General features: G+C 36.8%; 1 long non-coding RNA gene across 5 annotated transcripts, besides 1 other annotated feature; it reads right to left on the reverse strand.

The window, feature by feature from the left end:
• Positions 1-1,607: 1,607 nt before the first annotated feature.
• LOC105377196 (uncharacterized) lies at positions 1,608-22,798 on the reverse strand. 5 transcript variants are annotated; one of them, XR_001740802.2, is made up of 6 exons: positions 22,007-22,798; positions 13,825-13,919; positions 6,562-6,634; positions 5,957-6,186; positions 3,595-3,730; positions 1,608-1,894 (listed from the first exon to the last, which is right to left on the reverse strand). It is a non-coding gene; the product is annotated as an uncharacterized LOC105377196 (long non-coding RNA). The 5 variants fall into 5 exon arrangements; XR_002959628.1 differs by lacking the exon at positions 1,608-1,894 and having other exon boundaries at positions 2,418-3,730; XR_001740803.2 differs by lacking the exons at positions 1,608-1,894; positions 13,825-13,919 and having other exon boundaries at positions 2,418-3,730.
• Positions 12,322-12,522: a silencer, noted in NCBI's record as "peak4737 fragment used in MPRA reporter construct". NCBI's record gives its function as "represses an SCP1 promoter by STARR-seq MPRAs in K562 erythroleukemia cells {active_cell/tissue: K562}" and the evidence as "EXISTENCE:reporter gene assay evidence [ECO:0000049][PMID:32103011]".
• Positions 22,799-23,099: the final 301 nt, after the last annotated feature.

The raw sequence follows: 23,099 nt of genomic DNA on the forward strand, positions 1-23,099 counted from the left end.
TTCTATTATTTAAAAAGTTTTTGCACAGACTCCTTTCACTTTATTTTTTTCTTTTCTTCCTCTTTTTGTGAGGATACTTTATGTGCAAACTAGAGTCCTAAAAGTCCATTTACTTCAACAAACACTTACATAGTACCTGCTAATAATATTAGCTACTACTAGTATCTATTCTGCATTAATTATACATTTCCATTTTCAAAGGATCCAGTAAGCTAAATATTATCTCCATTTAATAAACAAGGAAACTAAGACTAAAGATATACAGTAAAAAAAGAGATAGAGCTTGCACTCAATAAAGCTTGCAATCTACTATGTTAGAAGATAGCCGTGAACACAAAGAGCTTAACACAAACCATGGCATAAGTACAAGTCATCTAAGTATGCTCAATGTACAAAAATCATTGAATGCACAGAAAGAAGAGCACATGATACAAGTTGGATAAAGCTGGGAGGAGCTGGCATTAGATGTAACTTGAAGAAGAACCAGTGAATATCTGAAAATGGGGAAAGGACTATTGAGGCAGAAGAAACAATTTGAGAAAAGGCACAAAGGTGTGAAAGTGTGTGGCATATTTGGAAATGAGTGTGTCATCTTGTGTGATTGTAGTACAGAATATTCGAGGAAGAAAACAGGTGAGACATCATGGTTTAGATCCGTTGCTCTCAAATTTTAGTACCACTCAGTAGTGACTCCCAGGTGGGCCCAAGAATTTTCACTTCTGACAAGTGCCCAGGTAACCCTAGCTCTTCTGTCTCAGAAAACACACTTAGAGAACTACTAGTTTAGAGGCATGTGAGTTGCTGATTTTCAATGTGGAACGTAAAAAGGTTTTATTGTTTGTAATTCATAAAATGAGATGTTTAGTGTTGGCCTACAATGTTAAAATCATGTGATTTAAAAGGTAATTAACTATAGGCTTGAAGGGCCTGCCAAGAAAGGACTTTTTACAATGAAGTCTGGAGTTCATTTGACAATCTAACAGGATGCTTGCTCATAGCCCTCAGGATGAAAGCCCTGTTGAAATTGACATAAGAACAGGCTGTGGCTAGGAGCAATAGTTAAAGAAACCGTTGGAACCTTAGTTGTGGTAATACAACAACAATCCCCCCAAAATGAAGACTGGGGTAACAAAGCAACATTAGGTCACATATATGAAAGAAGACACCACTTAAGAAGAGACCAAAGAACTGTCTTTGAAGTGTCTCTCTTTGAAGACTACTGCAAAAGGTCATGAATTGGTACACAGCACAAGGGTATTGAGCAGAAGCTGACAGAGGGAGTTAAAATCTACCTCCAGGCTGGGCGTGGTAGCTCATGCCTGTGATCCCAGCACTTTGGGAGGCCGAAGCAGGTGGATTACCTCAGGTCAGGAGTTTGCGACCAGCCTAGCCAACATGGTGAAACCCTGTCTTTAATAAAAATACAAAAATTAGCCAGGCATAGTGGAGCACGCCTGTAATCCCAGCTACTCAGGAGGCTGAGGCAAGAGAATCGCTTGAACCCAGGAGGCAGAGGTTGCAGTGAGTCGAGATTGTGCCACTGCACTCCAACCTGGGTGATGAGAAAGATTCTGTCTCAAAATAAATAAATAAATAAATAAATAAATAAGAAATCTACCTCTAATACTTTCACTCTCATATCTGATGCTGAAGCAGGGGTGTAGTTTTGCTGGCACAAAATAATAATTTGTCTGGACTGCACAACCCTTTCTAATTTATCTCCTCACTTCAGGAGTCTATATTTTTTCATTCAAACCTAGTAAGCCAAAGAATTGGGCAAAATTAGTTAGTTCTAAAATGTGGAGAAAAAGCAATCACCTTCATATTGATGGTACTGTAGAAGTAGGTTGCATGATCTTAAGGAAGTGGCCTAACTCTTCTGGGATATAGTTTCCTAAAACATGAATTAAAATAGTCAAAATAAGTAATTTCAAATACACTTTCATATCTGAAATCTGTCTTTTAGAATAAAGAAAAAACAATGTGAGTAATCATGAGTATTGACACAGGGAAGATCTGGGTTGAAAACCACTCACTTTCAGAATGCTCACTTATTGAATGATTTTGGGTACACTATTTAATCTTTCAAAGTTTCAGGTGACTTTATTTGCAAAAAGAGAACAATAATCCTTACTTCATAAAAACAGATAAAACTGAAGAACAAATTCCAATATAAATTTTTTTCAAGCCACTGAAGCAAAGCATTTTGCCCATTTTTTTTCGTTGTAAGGTAAATAACCCTACAGAATGAAAATCCATACCAACTTCCATTTCAAATCTTCCCTTACCCAACCCTAAAAGGTGTAAATTGTTTTAAAAAGAAAGGTAAATGAAATTGCTTTAAAAAGAAAAGTAAGTGAAATTGCTTTAAAAAGGAAGGAAAGAAGAAATGAACGATGGAAAGAGATGGAAAAAACGAAGGAAGAAGGGAGGTAGGAATGAAAAGACACGTTTTAATTCTAGAAAAGAATTACTTTTCTTTAATCCAAAATGACTAAATCAAATAATGGCAGTACAAGAATATATAGAACATATGAAAAGTTACATACTATAAAAATTACATTGTCAACAGTTCTATATGAAAAGTATGACTACAGAGGGAACAAACATTAAGCAGTACAAGAAATATTAATATTTAACAGCTATCTATATTTTTACATGTGCACTTTATAAAGAAGAAATTAATCATTAAGATGTCAAATTCTCCAGTGTCTTTAAAGGATGTGAAGCACCATACTGTTTTCTAAGAATGCAGATACAGTGTGGGTATTGAGGCTTAAAGCAAATTTTATTTGAATCTTGATTCCGGCACTTGTGTATTCCAGTAATGTGACTTTGAGCCAGGTATTTACACTCTCTCAACCTTAATTCCCTCATTTACCAAATGTAAATAATACTACCTGCTTCTCTAATGGATCTGTGCTCACTACTCAAGTGACCACATAACCAAGCATTTAAATACTTCAAGCCCAATTTCTGAGCTATCTCTGAGTGTTGTTTATTTTGGGGATTAACTGGGACAATGTATTTAAAATATCCGCATATATTAGTCTTTCAGTAAATATTAGCTTCATTAATACTAAAGAATTAACATGCAAGTGTGCAATTGACATGCAGTTAAAAATATTCCTATTTGAATACCATAATTTGAGTCATTTTAGCACCCTAGGATTTTTGAATCTATCAAATTAATCTAAAATAGCTATTTTTTTCTTCAACAACTGATTAAGGTTGAGACATAATAACAAATTAATTTTCTAGAAATTCTGTTACTTTCATGGGACAAAACAGAAAACATGATTACCTCAAGCATCACATTTTTTATAGAAGTCAACTCATATCACCAGGCACTTCTGAATGCTTATCAATTTATCTCAGAAACTAAACACAATAACACAGGTAGTACCTACCTAAAATTCAAATGAAGGAGTCAGTTATCTATGTCTGGGTCCTGAACATGGTTTTTCAGAAATTCCAAGAAGGTGGTAATACCATACCACGTATCTTTTTATCATCTCACTCTCTAAAATTCCAAATTTTAATGCTTCTTTCTTTAAGTGAAGAGCTAAGATTCCTACTATCATATTCACATACCCATGAAGGACATTGTGAAATGTAATCATTGGCTCTCCATGCTTATCCTCATTTTCAAACACGATTGTGACGAATTGCCTCCCCTGACATAGTCAATTTCATGATCTAGGTGACTTTTGCAGGCCTTGTTGGCTTCCTGTTTGAAATGAATAAAAGGCAATAACACTGCTCAGGTTACAAATGAAATGTTTTTTTATTGACATATTTTATAACTAATATGTAGGTACATTACATAGATTTCAAAATGTACAAAACAAAGTCAAAGAAGAAAATCAGTATCACCTTGTCCTACATGCATACAAGAAAGAAAAATAAATACCCTGCCATTTCCATATATCACAAATATTTTTTCTGGTAACTAAATACTTTTGTAAATAACTATTCTAATGAGTAATATATATTAACACATTCATCCTATAATTCATTTCAATAACCCAATTGTTGATGCCAATTTTTCAGTATTATAAATGTCATAACAATAAAGATATTTATAGACAAATAGATGGCAATTATGTAAAACCTTAAATAGCTTCCTAAGAAGAGAATTTCTGATCTAAAGTTAATAAAGCATTTATTTTTGGTAAGTGCTGTATTTTGTTTTTCAGGAAGTTTATACCAGGCAACAGTAAGTAACATCACTGTTTAAAATATTTCCAGTAATCTTGTTGTATACCTTAAAAAAATTCAATTTTTGTCAGTTGTAACTCAATAAAGCTGATGGAAAAAATAAAAATAGAAGACTTCTGATAAAATTTAATTTTAGTTCAATAGAAATATAATTAATGCATAGTCATTACAGAAAATTTAGAAAATACAGATGAAAATTAAAAATTTGAATAAATTTTGCCATTCACAATTAGTGGCTGTATGTTTTTTCAGCAGAGCTTATGTATATATTAAATACACATTTTTAAAAAGGTAATACAAAGTTTCAAACTCCTCTCTTGACATTGTATTGTGAGTGAGCATTTTATAATTTTTTTTTTTTTTTTTTTTTTTGAGATGGAGTCTCACTCTGTCACCACGCTGGAGTGCAGTGGCGTCATCTCGGCTCACTGCAGCCTCCGCCTCCCAGGTTCAAGCAATTTTCCTGCCTCAGCCTCCCAAGTAGCTGAGACTACAGGCGCCCACCACCACGCCTGGCTAATTTTTGTATTTTTAGTAGAGATGGGGTTTCACCATGTTGGCCAGGATGGTTTTGATCTCTTGACCTTGTGATCCGTCCGCCTTGGCTTCCCAAAGTGCTGGGATTACAGGCGTGAGCCACCGCGCCTGGCCGCATTTTCTAATTTCTGAGTCTCTTTTTCTTCTTCCTTATTTCAGAGATTGGCTACTATCGACAATGTTGCTGTCATCAGAAACTCATGGGTATCACTCCAGACATTACCTTCTTTCTTTTGTCCAGCACCAGCAGCTTACCAAGTCCTAAAAGATTCACTTGTAGAATAATACTTGTAAGTTTCAGCTCCCCTCCAATCGTATTTCCTCTCTTGTTCACTTGTATTACCACAAATACCTTTCAGCAGGTCTTTTGACCGTCAATTTAGCCATTTTATATTCCACATCCCAAGATCCTGTCAGAATTTTCTTCCCAATATTGAAATAACACCCTGTCACTCCTAGGATTATAATGACTCATTTAAGATAAAATCCTAGTTTTTCTGTATAACACTGTTCCCCTTTACTTTTTCAGCTTCATTCATCTCTTGACATTATCTCAGATGTAGCTTGCCCTGAGGCAATGCCAAACACTTGCTGTTCCTTGACTGTTTGCTGCTTTTCCATGAGTGGGTAAGTTCCATATTGGAAGCTTCATGTAGGGGCTCAGAGCTGGGGCTCTGGGTGAATACTGCATATAGTTAATTCTTAGCTGTGTCAGCTGTTGGCTGTTGTCCTTGGGCAATTCACTTAACTTTTTTTTTTTTTTTTTTTTTTTCTGAGATGATAGACTCTTGTTCTGTGGCCCTGGTTGGGCAGGTTCCAGAGATTCTCCCATCTCAGCCTCCCGAGTAGCTGGGACTACAGGTGTGCACCACCATGCCCAACTAATTTTTGTATTTTTAGTAGAGGCGGGGTTTCACTATGTTAGCCAGGCTGGTCTTAAACCCCTGGCCTCAAGTGATCCACCCACTTCGGCCTCCCAAAGTGTTAGGATTACAGGCATGAGACACCACACCCGGCCTCACTTAAATGTTATATGTAACTTACGTTTTCTCACTTGTAAAATTAGGATAATAACAGTATTTGCCTCTACAATCATTAGAAGGATTCATTGTTATTGTTATTAACTAATAACTATGTCTATTAAATAAAGGCTTTCTGTTTTGCCTGCACGTTATATTGATTAACTTGCACAGCTTACCTAACATTGAGATCTCTTCAAAACTTTTTTTTTTTCTGAAACTCAGCTGAGATGCATTCCTCTCTCCTTTTACCTTTGTCCCATCATTTTCATCCAGTGTTGAAATTGTCTGTGTTTGTAACTCCTAAAGCAGACTAAGTTGTCTGAGAGTAGAAGTTGTCTTTCTCCTCTTTGTCGCCAGCATCGAGCAGAAAGCTTAAGCTATGTCCCAAATTGTTGTGCACTGGTATCTGTTTTATGAATGAACAATATTTGATAAATGGTAATTTTGATTAAGATCTTATTCACCACTTTTCTTTTTCTGTGCAATGTTTTCAAGACCTTAGTTAAATTTAAAATATATATATATAAATATATATATATAATATATAAAGGCCTAAGCTTCACATATTAAATTAAAAACATGTAATCTAATTTTAAAGGGAGACAGGGTCAAAATTTACTTTTATCTAGTATTTTATTGTAATATTTTCATGGAGAAAACAAATAGCACATGTCATATAACAAATACAGTGCCAAGCAGGCACATTGACTGATTTTGTATGTTGTAACAATTGCAAGTAAACGCCATGAGAAGACGTGAAGAAAAAAGACATAGAACTTACTTTGCAGGATGCTTAGGGGTCTCTTTAGCTTCAGAAGACACATCCCCAAGATTCTTTAGGCACACCTGGAGATCTGTAACAATGTATAATTCAGAGAATAAGCAAATTAAAACAATGTTGCATCCACTGTTATAAAGAAGACATAAATGGAAGCGTTATGACAGGAACTTTCAGCTCAGCAATGAAATATTTTAGGATGATATTAGTCTTAATTCAAATTATAAAGACAGAGACAAACAAGGCTCTGAAAAGAGAAGGTGAAAAAAGTTAAGGGAGATGAAGAGAACACTCAAAGTCATAAAAGTAGAAATGAGATTGATATCACCAAAAAGAGGCTTTGTGGAGGACGTAAAGCAATTGGCAAATTCTTTTTCTCAGTCTGATGGCGCAACAGGAAATGAAAAAAGGTATATACTACAGAGCATGGAAGGCTTTCACTACTGAAGTATTTAAGAATGAGTGAGGTAAAAGTACTTCATAAATGAAGAAGTTACAAAATGCACTTATGCTTATAATACCACCAATGTTCCTATTAAGTTTCTAACAACAATAATAGTAAATGATAACATAATAGCATTACGACTGATGATGATGAAAAATGATGAATATTATCATTATATTAGTAATCAAGGGGAAGCAAGATGAACAGACAAATGTAGATTTTTCTAGATTATGTTATTTAAATATTTCAGGTTTACTGAACACCTGGTTGTCTAATGTGAATTATTCCAAAGAACACGCTGTTCCTTTCCTAACAAAAAAAGCTTCAAAGGCAAATAAATAATTTCCAATTCCTTTTTGGTCTCCAAGTCACTCTTTACACAAGAGGAATTTGATGAGTTAAGTGTAAATGTGTAAGAAACATGTGGATTGCATTTTGTTTAAAAACATACAAGGGTTTAAAAATTAAGGACGAAAAGTGTTTGGCATAATGCATTTTTGGTGAAGCCAAACCAGAAACATTTGAGACAGTTTCAGATTGTAGTGTGACCTTCAGCATTGCTTGTGTTTCTGGGTATTAAATGAATCTAAAAATAAACACTATCCTTAACTAGAACTGAAGCAATAAAACCTGTAGCAAGGTATGGACCTGAATGAAAAATTTTTTGAGGATTTACTGAATTTTTTTCTTTTTTCTAAAAAAAAATCTTCCAGTCTGAGAGTTCAAGCAAATGCCCACCATATGTGTCATGCTTTGTGTCTATTGCCTTATTTCTTCCTAAGGTTTCTGGTTCACATAGAAGAGGAGACATCTGAATATGTATAAGAAAAATGTCAACCCTCCCCTAGTGGTAAGATTAATTTAACTACAACTTGTACTCTTCAGTGGGTTCAAATGTGTTCTGAGCTTGAGTCATTTTTGAATGCTTTTGGTCCATACTTTGTTCTAATTTCTCCCTATGTATTTGTTGAAAAGACACTTTTGGAGAATGACATTTTGTTTCTGTCCATAGGCAAGAATTATAAAACATAAATAGCTGGGTTATGTTGAGATTTATTGGTGGGTAAGTTAAGGTGATATGCACTATAACAGGCAACTGCCACTTTAACAGCCTGTAACAAGTGGAAAAAACAAGAAAATGGAAATGCAAAATTATTGTTTTTATTTTTGTTGTGTGCTGCTGGCTTACCTGGTGCCTCTATTGAAGAATGGCATTTCAGTGGTTTTTGCTGTTCTACAAATTCTCTCAGTCATCGCACATTACCTCCATCTCCTTCATGCCGTTTTCCAAGCACAAAGCACTGTGTATTAGTCCGTTTTCACACTGCTATAAAGAACTGCCTGAGAATCTAAAACGGGAGGGGAGAGGACCCACTATCCAGGTGGGCTCTCAATCTAAATACATCACCCCTTAAAGCAAAGAATCTTTTTGGCTTTCAGGAAAAAAAAAAGTGTGGCAGAGGGTGAAGCAAGAGATATGTGACCCAAGGAAAAGTCAGAGAGATTCCAAGCATGAGCAGATTTGACACGCCCTTGCTGGCTTTGAGAAGCAGGAATCCACAGGCAAGGACCTCAGCGGCCACTGGGAGTTAACGACAGCCCCCTAACACAAGTGCAAAAAACTGGATTCTTAGAAGAGTCCAAGTGAGTTTGAAAGTTGACACTTCGGCCGGGCGCGGTGGCTCATGCCTGTAATCCCAGCACTTTGGGAGGCCGAGACGGGCGGATCACGAGGGGATCGAGGCCAACCTGGCTAACACGGGGAAACCCCATCTCTACTAAAAATACAAAAAAAAAAAAAAAAAAAAAAATTAGCTGGGCGTGGTGGTGGGCGCCTGTAGTCCCAGCTACTACGGAGGCTGAGGCAGGACAATGGCGTGAACCCGGGAGGCGGAGCTTTCAGTGAGCCGAGATCGTGCCACTGTCCTCCAGTCTGGGCGATAGAGCGAGACTCCGTCTCAAAAAAAAAAAAAAGAAAAAAGAAAAGAAAAGAAAAGTGGACACTTCCCGGTACCTCCTGATAAGAAACCAGTTTGCCAATATATTTAGTTCAGCCTTGTGAAAAAGCTGAAATCCAGAGCAGAGAAACTAGCTGAACCAACAGAACAATGGGAAAAATGTGTGCTGCTGTTTTAAGCAAATTTGTGCTAATTTCTTACAGCAGCAATAGGAAAATAATACACTCTCAAATATGTTGTTCCTGAGTTATGCCCATTGCCTCCTCAGCTCCACCTGGCATGCTACTTACCTATGGCAATAGTGTACCTTCTGTATCACCTTCCAGTCCCTCCCTAATCCACACAAACATCTTGAAAAAAATTGCATTGTGTTCCTTACAGCCAAATACTCTTAATTAATTAATGTTTGAAAAAGAGAATACCTGGGAGAATCTCTTTGGTTTGACTGGAAAGAGCAATGTATCTTTTGGATAACTTGCCGTTATATATAAGATGTTCTTGTTTGATTTATGGCTATGGACATTTAAGAACAACATTTTAAACTAGTGCATAGCAAACCTAAATATGCATATGTCACACCTAAGGTTCCTGTGAAATTGCAAATTCCGGTTCACTAGGTCTGGATTTGGGCTAAAAAGTCTTCATTTCTAGTAAGCTTTAATTGCATTGTCATTTACTTTTTGTGTGACCTTGAGTAAATTACTTCGGTGTCCAAACCTAATTTTTTTCACCTGTAAAATTGATATTGTGCATATAAATGAGAACATGGATATAAGGGAAACACTGCTTTTTATGCTTTTCTATTACTGCAACTCAGATAACACCAACAAAGCAGCCCAGAAATGCAGGGACGAGCCACGGACAAATCACTCAATTAGCAGATCTCAAGAACTGGTAGAAAGGTCTTAGGCTCTCGTTCTTTATTTAAAACTGCATTCAACACATTCAACACAGTTTTTTGTTTGTTTGTTCATTTGTTTGTTATTGGAGGCAGAGTCTTGCTCTGTCACCCAGGCTGGAGTGCAGTGGCCCAGTCTTGGCTCACTGGAACCTCCACCTCCCAGGTTCAAGTGATTTTTGTGCCTCAGTCTCCCAAGTAGTGGGGATTGTAGGCATGTGCCCCATGCCTGGCTAATTGTATCTTAATAGAGAGAAGGCTTCACCATGTTTCCCAGACTGGTCTCGAACTCCTGAGCTCAGGCAATTCACCCCCATCAGCCTTCCAAAATGCTAGGATCGCAGGCATGAGCTACCATGCCCTGCATCAACATAGTTCTTTAGAGGGACTGAGGCCCATAGCAGATGGAATTCCAGTTGTTCTCAGTGGTAACAAGCTTTCCTCTTTTCTTAGTTTACTTTCCCCACCCCTCTGCTTCTGTTTCTTGGATGCTTTCAAATAAACTACCTTTTCATAAGTCCTTTTCTCAAACTAGTTTGGCATCACAATTACTGATACTGTTACCTATTTTGAAATGTGATAAAAGGTAGAAAAGAGGGAAACATTGGCTTATGCAGTAGCTCTGATACTTGAACTTTGTGGGGGCAATGATAATTTAAAATATTGTAAAATTAGTTGACATTTAATTTGCATTGAAAACCTTGGAGAAACAGAATGACACTGGCCAGAAGACCTTCATGGAAGTTTTTAAAAGACTTTTATTTTCTATAGCTCTGGGTAGACTTTGCTGAAATTCAAGCCCAAGATTTAATAGTAAAGGTAACAAAACTGCAAAGGAGACAATGTTCAGCCTTAGTGCGTCTTTTAAGCTAAAATCATGGCCAAGATACAAAAGAAGTAAGAGACTGATATATCTGGGATAGGAATACCTGGGTTTCTGCATCCAAGGAGGCATGCATTATTGAAGAAAACACTAACGTTTTTGAGAAGTGCAGTATGGCTATCCTCTGCTGTACAGAATTGACAGAAGGAGACAGTTCCATGAGACAAAGGCCCCTAGTGTCAATGAAGCTGACAGAGTTCCGGAATAGCAGAAAACAAAGTGGTGGCGCTTAGCCATCAGAAGCAATACTAGAAGGCACAGACATATCTGTATGGCAAAAAAAGGGTTCCTTAACCTACAGAGAACTCTGGCAATGGTTAAAAGACTGTAGTGTATATCTGGAAGTGAAATAAATGTGCAGCCATCAAAGATGTTGCTTGACATGTATAAAACCAAGAAAAAACTCAAAAGGTAGTAGGCCAAGAGTTCTATCAGATTCTGCAGTAAAAATTTACTACTCCTGGCCCAGTTTTCAGATCTGAGATAGCCTCAGATAGGATCTATTGACCAAAATGAGGATAGATACTCCTGAGGAAAGACCCTTTTATGCCACCAAAAGCATATATCATAAATGTTATATCAGTCTGTCCTCAAAAGTACCTATGGTCTTGTACCAGAGTAACCGCACATTAAGGAAAACGCATAATCAAGCTCTTTCAAAGAGATGTTGAAAACTGAGTCTTATTTCATACTGAAATTAAAGTAACTCTAATTCCTTGTGTATTATGACCAGACGGTAAGTAGATTTCCGGCTTTAAATCTAGCTTATAATGAGTTTAATTTTTCCATGGAATCACCCTGTAGTTATTTCTCAAGACTCTGAATTTTAATCAAATTTAGGATCTGATAGAACCCTTACATTAGATTTCTGATTTGTAGAATAAGAGACATTAGGGTGAAATACCAAGAACAAACCTGAGATTTCCCACCCACTCCCAGTCATGATAGTAAATCAAAAGTCATGCTATATCCAAGTTGAAAGTGTGTAATCACAAGATCATAGACAATCTGATAGAATGTAAGAATGGCCTCATAAAGGTTCAGCCTAGTTGTCACTGTGGGGATGGCACCTTATTTGGTTAGGATACTGCCTTTTGTGACGTGATGTTCATATTTAAGAAATAACTATTATATGATGCCTTGTTCCTAGTACTAGAATACACAGGTGAGAGAATGAAATGTTGAAAGAAGCATCGACCACACTCACCATCCCCCCGTCCCCACAAATGACCCACTGTGGAACTTGTGTTTCTCACTGCTGCACGTTTAGACTCTGTAGATTCTAGGTCTTAAACCCCAATAGGGGAAATTTTGCTTCTAGGAAATGCAGTAAGGGTTTCTTCAAACCTGAACCTTTAGCTTTTGCTTAGTCATTTTGGACTCCTCATGCCTGTAGACCAGCACATAAATGATTTTTAAAAACAGTTACTAGATTGACAGGATGTTTAACCCTAGTTATCATGCATTTCTATGTTTGCTGCCATATAATGGAGGTGTGGAGGAGTGCACTGGGCACTGAGGGAAATCACTGTAGCCTCTCGTGGTGTTTCTATGCTCAGTGAAAAAAGAAAACAGGCATTTGCAGCAGCAACAATCTGATAAGGGGCAAGACAAAGAAGACTCAGACAACTAAGGGTTGAAGCTCTGTGCTTCTCTATCAGGCAAGCAGCTGTATGCCAGCTGTAAGGCTGGCCATGTGAAAGAAAGCTGTACAGTGGGTGGTAGAGAAGGAAGATAATGAATATCAGTTACAGCCTTGGGACTCAGACTGTAGCAGGAACTGTAGCTCGCTCTACTAAACCTATTTTAAATTCATATTTAAAGAGGTTGTGACAAGGCACGACTTCAGAGTTGTTAAAAAGTTGAACTTAATATGGAGCAGTAGCATTTCTGAGCAGTGAAAAGGGATACTATAGCAGACAACTTGTGTGTTTTGTGTCAGAGTCCCTAAGCCAACTTGCAATTTTAGCTGCATTTATGGAAAGTTCCCAGGCACTCCAGCAGCATCCCACTTTTCTTCTTTGCTTTTCTTCTTTACATTTTGTGTGGACCCTCACTCCGCACACAGGGCAGCTTGGGAGTGGGAGATGATTAACTGCCCTGGGGCACAGCCCTCAACAGTAATGGACAAGGGTCATGGTAAAGGCCCAGTTTCCTGTTCTACAGAGAAACTATTCTCAGGGTCTCCAACAGGACTGAGCCCCAGTGGCTCACAGTCATAACCCACCCTTTAATGGCATCTCTTCCTTTCAACCCCACATTCCTGGATCCTCCGATATTGCTTTCTGGGATCACATACTAAGTAAGTTACCTAAAAAAAAAACAGTCACTCTTTCTGAGAAAATCTAAATTGTGAACAGATATAAAGTGCCCTACACCGTGCTTGATAAATAATCAGTACCCAGTACATGTTCCTATCCTCCGATTTTTTTCTTTGCCATAAGATATTTATAGTTCTTTGGAGAAAATAACCAACTAAAAGATAGGTGTTATTTGTAAATATCATCATACTCTGCAAATGTACCTATAGCCAGAAATTAAGCCAGCATATTCCCATGTACAGAGGGCCAACTGATGTTTTTCATTCATATATGTCTGGAGCTTGAGCGGCAGAGTGTTGTATCACTACAATAGGAACCTGAAGAATTGGATTTTGACTCTGTTTCATTTACTTACTGGGATTTTATTTTATGTTTAAAATATTCACCAATATATTTAACGTTAGGTTCATTGTCTTCAAAATATTATAATTTCTTATAATTTCTCAGTTGAGATGAAGTCCGAGTAAGCTAATGGATACAAATATGTCTTGTAAAATGTAAGCTATCTTAATGTAAATGTACATGTCTCTACCACATGATGTCAAAGATGGTTGTTATTTGGCGAAGTGAGCCAAAATAGTATTTCCTGAAAAACGCTAAATGCATGCTAATATATGTTATTTTGTCTTTATTTTTAGGAAAAATAAAATCGGTCTTGGGGGGCTGATTCTATTTCTTGGAATTTTAGATAATTTGAAAGGTTTATGATGACAAAACTGCCTGTTAGCACATCTCAAATTTATGCACAGAATATAACCTACCTTGCTTGAGCTTAGAGCTGGTCTTAATAGTGCCTTTCTTTCTTTTGAAAACAGTTCTAAATGTTACCAAGATATTTGGCAGAAATTTTCAGCATCTAGACACAGACATGAAAGAAACAGATGAGGGATATAGCTTGTGTCTGAAAACTTATGGAGGCTCAGGAAATAAAGAACAGTTAAATTACAGTCACTTATCACTAATATCGCTGGCTGGTTATTTTTTTGGTAGTTGCAGCCCAATCATGTTGGTTTCAGTGGTAATTCACTGGTAATGAGTGAGTATATACCAAGCTCAATCTTATCTCTACATAAATATTTGAATTATCTTGTAAGAATTTTCCTAAAGATTTTACTTAATTTACTATTTGATATGGTTTGGCTCTGTGTCCCCACCCAAATCTCACCTTGAATTATAATTCCTAATGTTAGGGAGGGGTCTGGTTGGAGGCAATTGACTCATGGGGGCAGACATCTCCCTTTCTGTTCTTGTGATAGTGAGTGAGTTCTCATGAGATCTGGGTGTTTAAAGGTGTATAGCGCTTCCCCCTTTACTCTCTCTCTCTTCTGCTCTGCCATGGTAAGAGGTGCTTGCTTCCCCGTGGCCTTCTGTAATGACTGTAATTTTCCTGAGGCCTCCCAGCCATGCTTCCTGTACAGCCTACAGAACTGTGAGTCAATCAAAATCTCTTTTCCTCATAAATTACCAAGTCTCAGGTTGTTCTTTATAGCAGTATGAGAACGAGAATGGACTAATACACTACTTGAACTATTTAGTTTACTTTTCAAGAGATTATGGAACAAAGTATACTTTTTACCATTTTTGATTCACTGGTAATGAGCTCACTCATAAACTCTAGAAAGGTAAACTAAACTGTTCAAATAGTAAAGTAGAAATATCTTTAGGAAAATTGTTATAAGATAATCAAAATATTTATGTAGAGATAAGATTCCAGTTAGTATGGTGCTTCAATGATATATTGGAAAATAGGTTTGTTCAGTTATTTAGGGGAAGTGACTTTTTTTTTTCTCCTTTAAGTTTTATCTCCTTTTTAGGGAGGTTAATATAACTTGTGATATTTTTGATAACTACTCTTACTCTTCAATATAATATTCTTTATAAGCTTTCAGCCTATTAAATTTTTTAATTGAATGATAATTTGGATAGCAATCATTCAGAATATTTTTCTATTCATAAACATTTTTCCTCTTGGTTTTAAGTTTGCTTGGTTGTCAGTTACTTCTCAAGGCTGTCATAATTTGGAATGGAATAGAGATTGCTAACTCAATCTTAGCTGGCAATCCTCTTTTATATCAGTGACATGACAAAACAAAACTTTCAGCTTGCTTCATCAGACGGTTTTTCTTCTATCACTACTTCCCCAATAGTTATGTTAACAAACAGTTATATAAACAAACTTTATCCATTTGTTGCTTCTTTTCAGGAATACTGGTAGTTGATGAAAACAATGAGAGAAATGCCTGCTTCTTTGCGTACACCATAATCTTTCCAAGAGCACCAAACTGAATGCTATGTGTTTTTGAATGTATCAGTCTAACAGTCAAACCTGGAATAAAACTTTTATTCGAGGTGAAGGCAGTTAAAGCTCAAACTTTGGGAACTATAAAATTCCAAATTCAAGGTGACTTTTCTCTAATTGATTTCATTTAAAACAGAACCACTTATTTCAAGAAAATGAACTTGAATAAAATTATAAATAGGTGAGAGTATGAGTAGGCATGCTATGGTTAATCGATGAGAAACGTAGTCTTTTTATCAGACTAGACATGCTCAGTGAATAAATATGATGAATAGTTAGAACCTTTCATAAAATTTCTGAAGAAATAATAGATATTTTAATATATTATTCCATATATATTAGTTTCAAAGACTCTAAGAAAAATCCTAAGATCATAGACTGTTAGAACAGAGGGTATTTTAGGGAGCATTCAATTCCATCCTCTGTCCTTAGATCCTCCTTCTTGCCCAGGAAAAGGAATGTAGCATTAAGGTTAAACACGCAGAATCTGGAGCCAAACAACCTTAGTTTTAGTCTCGGCTGTGACCAAGTTACCTAATGTCTCCACCTCTCAGTTTCCCACCTGTGCAAGGAGAAGGATAATAGGAGCACCTAATTACAGGGCTGTTGAAGAACTGAGTGGCTGAATACATGGTAGATATTAGAAGAAATTGACACACCCTAATAACAATAAGTGTGTGTGTGTGTGTGTGTGTGTGTTTCTGCAGTGATGTTTTATTGAGAACCTCCTACATGCAATCATTGACCAGGTACTAGAAATGCAAAGAAAACTTCTCGTGTTTTCTGTCCTCAGGATGCTGAAAAACTTGAGGAGATGGACACCACAATGGTGTGAATGGGCAGATTTCCCTGAAACGATATTTACAGATGAGATGATATTTTATCCAGATCTTGAAGTTTAAGTAAAAGCTTGCTAATATGCCATTGCTGCTACTGCTGTTGTTGCCATTGATGATGATGATATTGATCATGACAATAAATAATGAATTAATTATATAATTATTAGTTAATTGCTAAAATTTATTGGACACTTACTATTGGCTAATTTCTAATAACAAAATGTGTTATTTTGTTTAATGCTGAGAAATATCCCATGAGTCAAGTTTCATTTTTATCTTTATTCTGGAAGACATGAAACTGAGGCCTTGAGAGATTATGCTACTCTTGAAGACATGAAACTGAGGCCTTGAGAGATTATGCTACTCTTGAAGACATGAAACTGAGGCCTTGAGAGATTATGAAATTTTCCCAAGGTTACTCAAGGAGTAGATGGAAGAGCTGGAAAGTAAGCACAGGCAGAAATCCATTTTAAGTAATGGGACAAGCACTGGAGAGCATACCTAAAAAATGATGCATTGTGATGAATGGAAAAAAATGTTCAAAGCAGCTCAAGCACTGAGTGTGCACAGGTGATGGCAGCTGATGATGAACAACCTTCAATACTCTGCTAAAAGGGTGAACATAATATAGTAGGACCTAATGGAAAAGAGAAGCTTTTGAAAGAGAGAAATAAGAATGATTGCTACCATTCGTTAAGAATTTATATCTACTCATAATCTCAATTGCCTGTCCCAATAGCATGTTCTACACATAATAGAATCCTTGGAAGTTTAGAGGTTAATCAGTTTCCTAGGAATTTTGAAAAGATTACTCGGGAGGCAGTATGCTTGAGAGTAATTTCTTAATTGAAGGGGAGGATGAAAGGGAAGAAATGATGAAGTCAAGAATGACTGTGGTTTCTGGAGTAGGGCATTATGGAATAAATTATAACAATAAATGAGATTTATTGGAGAGTTTGAGAGGCAGTGGAGGAAATACAAAATTAAGATTTTGCACAAACACTTTTCACTGATTATTGGATTTCCTAGTGGTAGATGTTTTTAGATGAGCAGTTAATATATGCATCTGAACAGGAAAGAGAAGGTAGATAATAATGGCAATAATAGAAATGATTTGAAAAGCATTAAGGAATTTTCCTTTTACCTTTCTGAGTATATAACCATTATGCTGGTTGATCTGAGGTCCAGTGATGTGGGAATCAGTGGTGGGTGAGAAGATGAAAATGTTTCAGAAGAAATGTAGAGAAAGAAGATGATAATAGTTATATCAATAATGATTTACAGCAAGACAGTGATTGTAAGTTCCAACATCACAGAGAAAAATAAAGATTACTTTAACATCTTTAATTCTCAGTTTATATATGAAGGGCTAAACTAGATGTTTCCCGAAAGTTAGAAAAGGCAACCATTCTCTGAGGTTAGAAGAGAAAGGAAAGTGATAATGTGATACATAAAAACACTTCACACTGACTTGATGTTTGGTCAGAGAATGGAGTTGGGGAGAGAGGAAACTATTTGACTTATGTCTCAGTATTCCCACTCTGGATTTGACCTGAGGATGGGGAAAGTCTATCAGATAATTAGGGGAGAGTAGAAAGTTACAGGAACTTGTGACTTCAATTGAAATAATTTGGGAGGATCCACTATGCACTGCGCCCTGCACTAACATGAGGCAGCCAGTTTAGTAGACAAGGTGGAGTGGCGTGGGAAAAGAGGAGCACAGTGGGCACCCTCTAGCTCCTGTCATTCTTTGATGGCAGGGAGACCATGGAGGAGGTCACCAGATCTGTGAGCAGCCTCCCGAAGTGGCATAAGTCACACTCTTGTCAAGGCCAGAGAGATGAACGGAAGAGAACTGTATATCTTTGCCAGCTAAAACTTGGGTAAGCTGAGCTAACCAGGTGGGAGAGGGCTATGCTTCTGGAAGGACTTGATTACAGCCCTAAGTTTAAAACCTCAAACTTTAGTTTAGGAAGCATGTACGAGGCCCAACTACAAAGTGGACAAGAGTGACATTAAAAATATCAGCAAGTGCATATCCAGCAAAGAACCAAAGGTCGGAGGAGTCCTCCCCATTGTACCTCTCACGAAATTAAAATAATACAAAACTAACAGCCACCACAAAGACATGTGAACATTCCCTTTTCTCTGTCTGAAAAGCTTAACTTCATAGCAGGTGAAGTAGGAGGAGAATATCTGAACCTAAATACTGCTAAAAGAGACAGCTTATTTAGTTTCAAATTAGATACAACTAAAAGTTAATACTTTTCTCCTTACCAAGGAGTGAAGATTTCTAGGAAGACAGGCATAGTTATGGATTGGATAAAAGAGGTTTTATTTCCTCTGTGACCAGAATGAGATTGGGAAAGAATAATGAGAGAGAATAGAGGTATTTCAAACTTAGAGATTCCTTTCCAGTTGTGGGAAGAGTTTCAGAAGAAATCTGAAAAAGTTTAATTAATTTACCCAATGGTACAGCAAGTGAATGCGCTGAAATTTTTAGTTTGAGTTCATTTCTTGACTGTGCATCACCTCATGGCCACTTCCCATGGGAGGAGCCTGAGGATGATACCAAGCACTTCCCATAGTGCTTATGAGGCTTTAAAGAAAAGAATTTCCCAGTTGGCTTCTGGAAGTACTGCGCTAGATGGGTGGAAGGAAAGCTCTGTAGAATGTTACGAAGCAAATGTTAACCCTCTCCATAAAAATGGTACCAAAAAACCCAACATAGTTTATTAGCAAAATCTGGATAGATAGAATCCTTTTTAAAAACCCAATTTTATTTTTTACTTGCCTAAAATCAAAAAGGTTTTATATAATAGTTTGGGGGTCATATTTACCATTATTTTGCTTTCCAAAACAGGTTTGGATTTATCAGATGTGGTCTTTGCTGCTTTGGGATACAACATTTTCAAATTGTATTGTTTGGATTAAATCTAAATGAATCACAAATATATATGTAAGGTAAAAATATCAAGATTCTGGTAACTAGTGTATCAACTGGTATATTGATATTAATAGCTCTCATATTAATAATTACTCTGACTTTTAGTAGCCATAAGGCTTACCAACAGTTGAAGTACTTCTGTGATGTTCTTGGACAGCCGTCAACATTACCAACTCATTCCCAACTCAATTGACACAATGGAGAAAGTCAGACCCTACTTAGCCCCTACTTTTACCGATTCTTAGTACAGAACTAAATCTGTACCCTGTGCCACAAGAGTGTGTGTGAGACCAACCTCATATTTTCTACTTATAAGCTCTTTCTTTTGCCTTTTGTCTACCTTTCCATTAGTGCCTCTTCTTTTTACTTTCAAAGTTGTAACGGTTAAACTACTTTCTTGTTCTAGCTCTGAGAACTGCATTGTATTTCACCCTTTTGTTGAAAAGGGAAATTGACTTTAAATGAAAGGCAAACAGATACTACTCAGTCATGATAAATGGTGAAAATTAAGCCCACAGAACTTTTATCTTTAAGCATATTTTTACCCTGACATCTTGAAAATATTATATGATGCAACTATTTCCACAAGTATTTTAAAACTGTTTTTCTGTTCCAAATAGGACCTCAAATTATTGCCATCATCATCTTTCCATGGACTCCTACTCTGCATAAGGTGCTCTAAAGACATTGTACCTACTGAAAAGATATTGTACATGACTAAGATCAAAGGATCTTTCTCACTGAGAGGCTAAGAGTCTATTTAGGGAAATTGTAGAAGCACAGAAAAATTATAATCCCAGGCAAGATTTATTTACCATGTGGGTTATAAGATCAGAAAGTAATGAATGCTATTCATAGAGTAGAAAATGGCTTTGAAGAGTCTTAAAAGATGAGTAAGATTGAGGCAAAGGAAGTCAGTGTATCACAGCACCTTCAACAGCAAGTGTGTGGTGCGTGCCTGTGTGGAGTTGGGAAGGCACATGGCAAGCCTGGGAAACAATAGTAGGTCATTTGGGCCACAGTGAGGAATTTTTATATAGAATAATTTTTCTCACTAGTAAAAACTAGAAAGAGTTCTGAAGGAAGAGAAAAGAACTCCCAAGCATCAACAGAGATACAATATAAATAATGGCTGCGAGATGAATATTCTTGTAAACAAAGATTTTTGTATGTCTTTTTTTCCTCTTCCTTTTTAATGGGGACTTAATGTTCCAAGAATCCACTTGACTTTGGCAAGCTCTACCAGACACCAAGTGATGGCATCTTTAATTTGTTTACATGAAACAGAAAAATAGAAAATAAAAATAAATAAATAAAACCTAGAATGATTTTCACTTGAAAAAGCCAGAAACTGAGAAGTGAGTGGGTGCTGTATCCACTGTGAAATTGATGCTGGTATCTCTAGAAGGATCCTATCTCTGCTGTACAGGTTAGTTTTGTCGTGTTTCATAAAATGTTCCAGTCCTGTGACATATTGGACTCTTTGTTCTTTTCTCCTTCCCTTCAAAGGTTAAAACAAGCAGGGGAGGTTGGGTGATGATCATAACAGAAAGAATGTGGGCGTAGGAGGTGTGAGGAAATCAGTGCCTGGGGCCTGAGTTGGTTCTTCCCTGAAATGATTGAAAAGCACAGTGTGGCTTGATGACCAGAATGAACAGCAAAGACTTTGAGTAGAATCTGCAGTCTGGGCCCATGGGAAGAGTGTTCTGCAGTGATGAGTCCAGCCATCACTCACTCACATTTGCCAAAACAACCAGCCGTAAGAAGGATGCCCATCTCCCCCCAGGCCCTGCTTGTAGCTTGGATGTAGTGTTGCCTGTTGCTAATGAACCACTAGGATTGCCTCAAACACACCCTGACAGCTGCAGAGTTTTCGGTAACAGCCCTAATTCCACTTTCTCTTCCATCTGTCTACAGATGGTTTAAATTTGACCCCTTTAAAAAAAAAGTATCCTATTAAGAGGCAATTACTGTGCTTGTAGATTTCCCATAAAAAATGACAGAATTGTAATTTGCAAGAGAGTCTGGTAATTGTGGATTATGTTGAGAGTTTGATACTCATTCTGGACATGGAGGTTTTGACACTATTTGGGGCTGGATTGCTAATATTCTATTTGGAATAATTCTGTCAATCATAACGGCATAGATAATAGTCAGAAAGTTCAGCCATAAGCACAAAAAGAAGTCAGTCCTTTCAAAACCATTAGCACTGATTTTATTTTTATTTTTCAAAATATCTTTCAACTACAACAGGATGCTACAACACCAGAATGTTTCTGTTTATTTTGTGCCATCTGGGTTTCCATGATTAATTATACAATTCTTCTTTCTACAAGAACTTTCTTCTGAAAATTGCAAAGCAGTTTCAAGATAGTACTTCAATATTCATTATACTTTACGTATTATCTCAGTGTGAATGTCAGAACCAAGCTAATTTAGGAGAAATCAAAATGTAAATAGGTTTCTAGAATATTTCAAAGAATTACAAATCTTAGAATCTTTGCAGTCTTAAAGTTTGCTTGTCCAAATCTCTCCTTTGCTAGGGGCAGGGAGGATCACCTTGCCCTGAGTGACCAATTTTGCCTCCCAGTGAGCCAGAAGGAAATGCCAGTCCTACTGATGCCCAGTTTAGTACTATGCACTTTTGACACCTAAGTGAATAAATCTTTCTTCTAAAATGAGTCTGTGCTTTATAATGACCGAATTTCTCTCTAAAGATTTCTGAAATAGAAGGATTTTCATTTTAACATATCAAACCAATACTTTAAAGCACGTGCTTTGTGCACTATGTTGCAGAGACTACAAAGAAAAGATACAGTCCCTGTCTCAAGATGCATATTATTGTCTTGGAAAATTACCTTGAGGAATCCAGGCCTTCGAATGTGAAAAGGTATTTAATATTGGGAGGTTGTGCATGACAGAAAGTGAATGGTACAGTTGATATGGAAGTGAGTAAGGCTTCTCCTTGACTTTCAGCAGGTGCTCTGCAAACACTTGTTGAGTTGCATTGAGCTGTATTCACTTGGAGAGCAGCTTCTCTATGGGAAAAACAATGGGTTTGATCAACAGTGTTAACTACTAATTTTTAGTAAAAATTCTGTAGGTGGGGCTGAGTTGTGGATATTTATTTATATCTATTTCAATGTACAGTGTGACTAAAAAGTGCTACGCTATGTGTTTATTCTAAAAAATTATGTTGAACATGATTATATTAATATGGGGGGAAATATTTTTTAAAATAATTTTCTAAGTCTTTACCAGTAGGTTTCTAATTTGTGACGGCTGATTTATGTGTTAATTTGGCTAGGCCATGGTACCCAGGTATTTGGTCAAACACCAGTCTAGATGTTTTTATGAAGTATTTATTTAGATAACATTAACATTTAAATCAGTATTCGATGAGCAAAGCAAATTACTCTCACAATGCAGTTGGGCCTCATCCACTCAGTTGAAGGCCTTGAAAGAAAAAAAGGCTAATATCCCTTAAGGAAAAGGAAATTCTATTAGCAATCTGCCTTAGCACTCATATTGCAACATCAACTTTTCCACGGGTATCTAGCCTCTCTCCCTACTCTGAAGATTTTGGACTTACAGCCTCCATAATCACCTGAGCCAATTCCTTAAATCTCTCTTTTGTGAATGTGTGCATGTGTGTATCTTTAGAAATATAAAATCCCATAATACCATATATACAGCAGGTTCTTCAATAACATCCTTGCAAACATGCAAATGGACTGTGTGCTGCAGAAGAATTACAAACACACACCACGAACAACATGTGGTTGTAATGTATATGTAGAGTTTATTGGGAAAACATGCATATATAGAGTTTACTGGAGAAAATTCAAACTAAAGAAGTAGTATAGCACACGCTGTCTTCCAAGCTCATTATTCTACAACTTAAGCAGGGTATAGATGGTCTGAATGCACCCTGGCCATGGTTTCACCAGG

This window comes from Homo sapiens, chromosome 3 (assembly GCF_000001405.40).
Source record: "Homo sapiens chromosome 3, GRCh38.p14 Primary Assembly".
NCBI classification, from domain to species: Eukaryota; Metazoa; Chordata; class Mammalia; order Primates; family Hominidae; genus Homo; species Homo sapiens.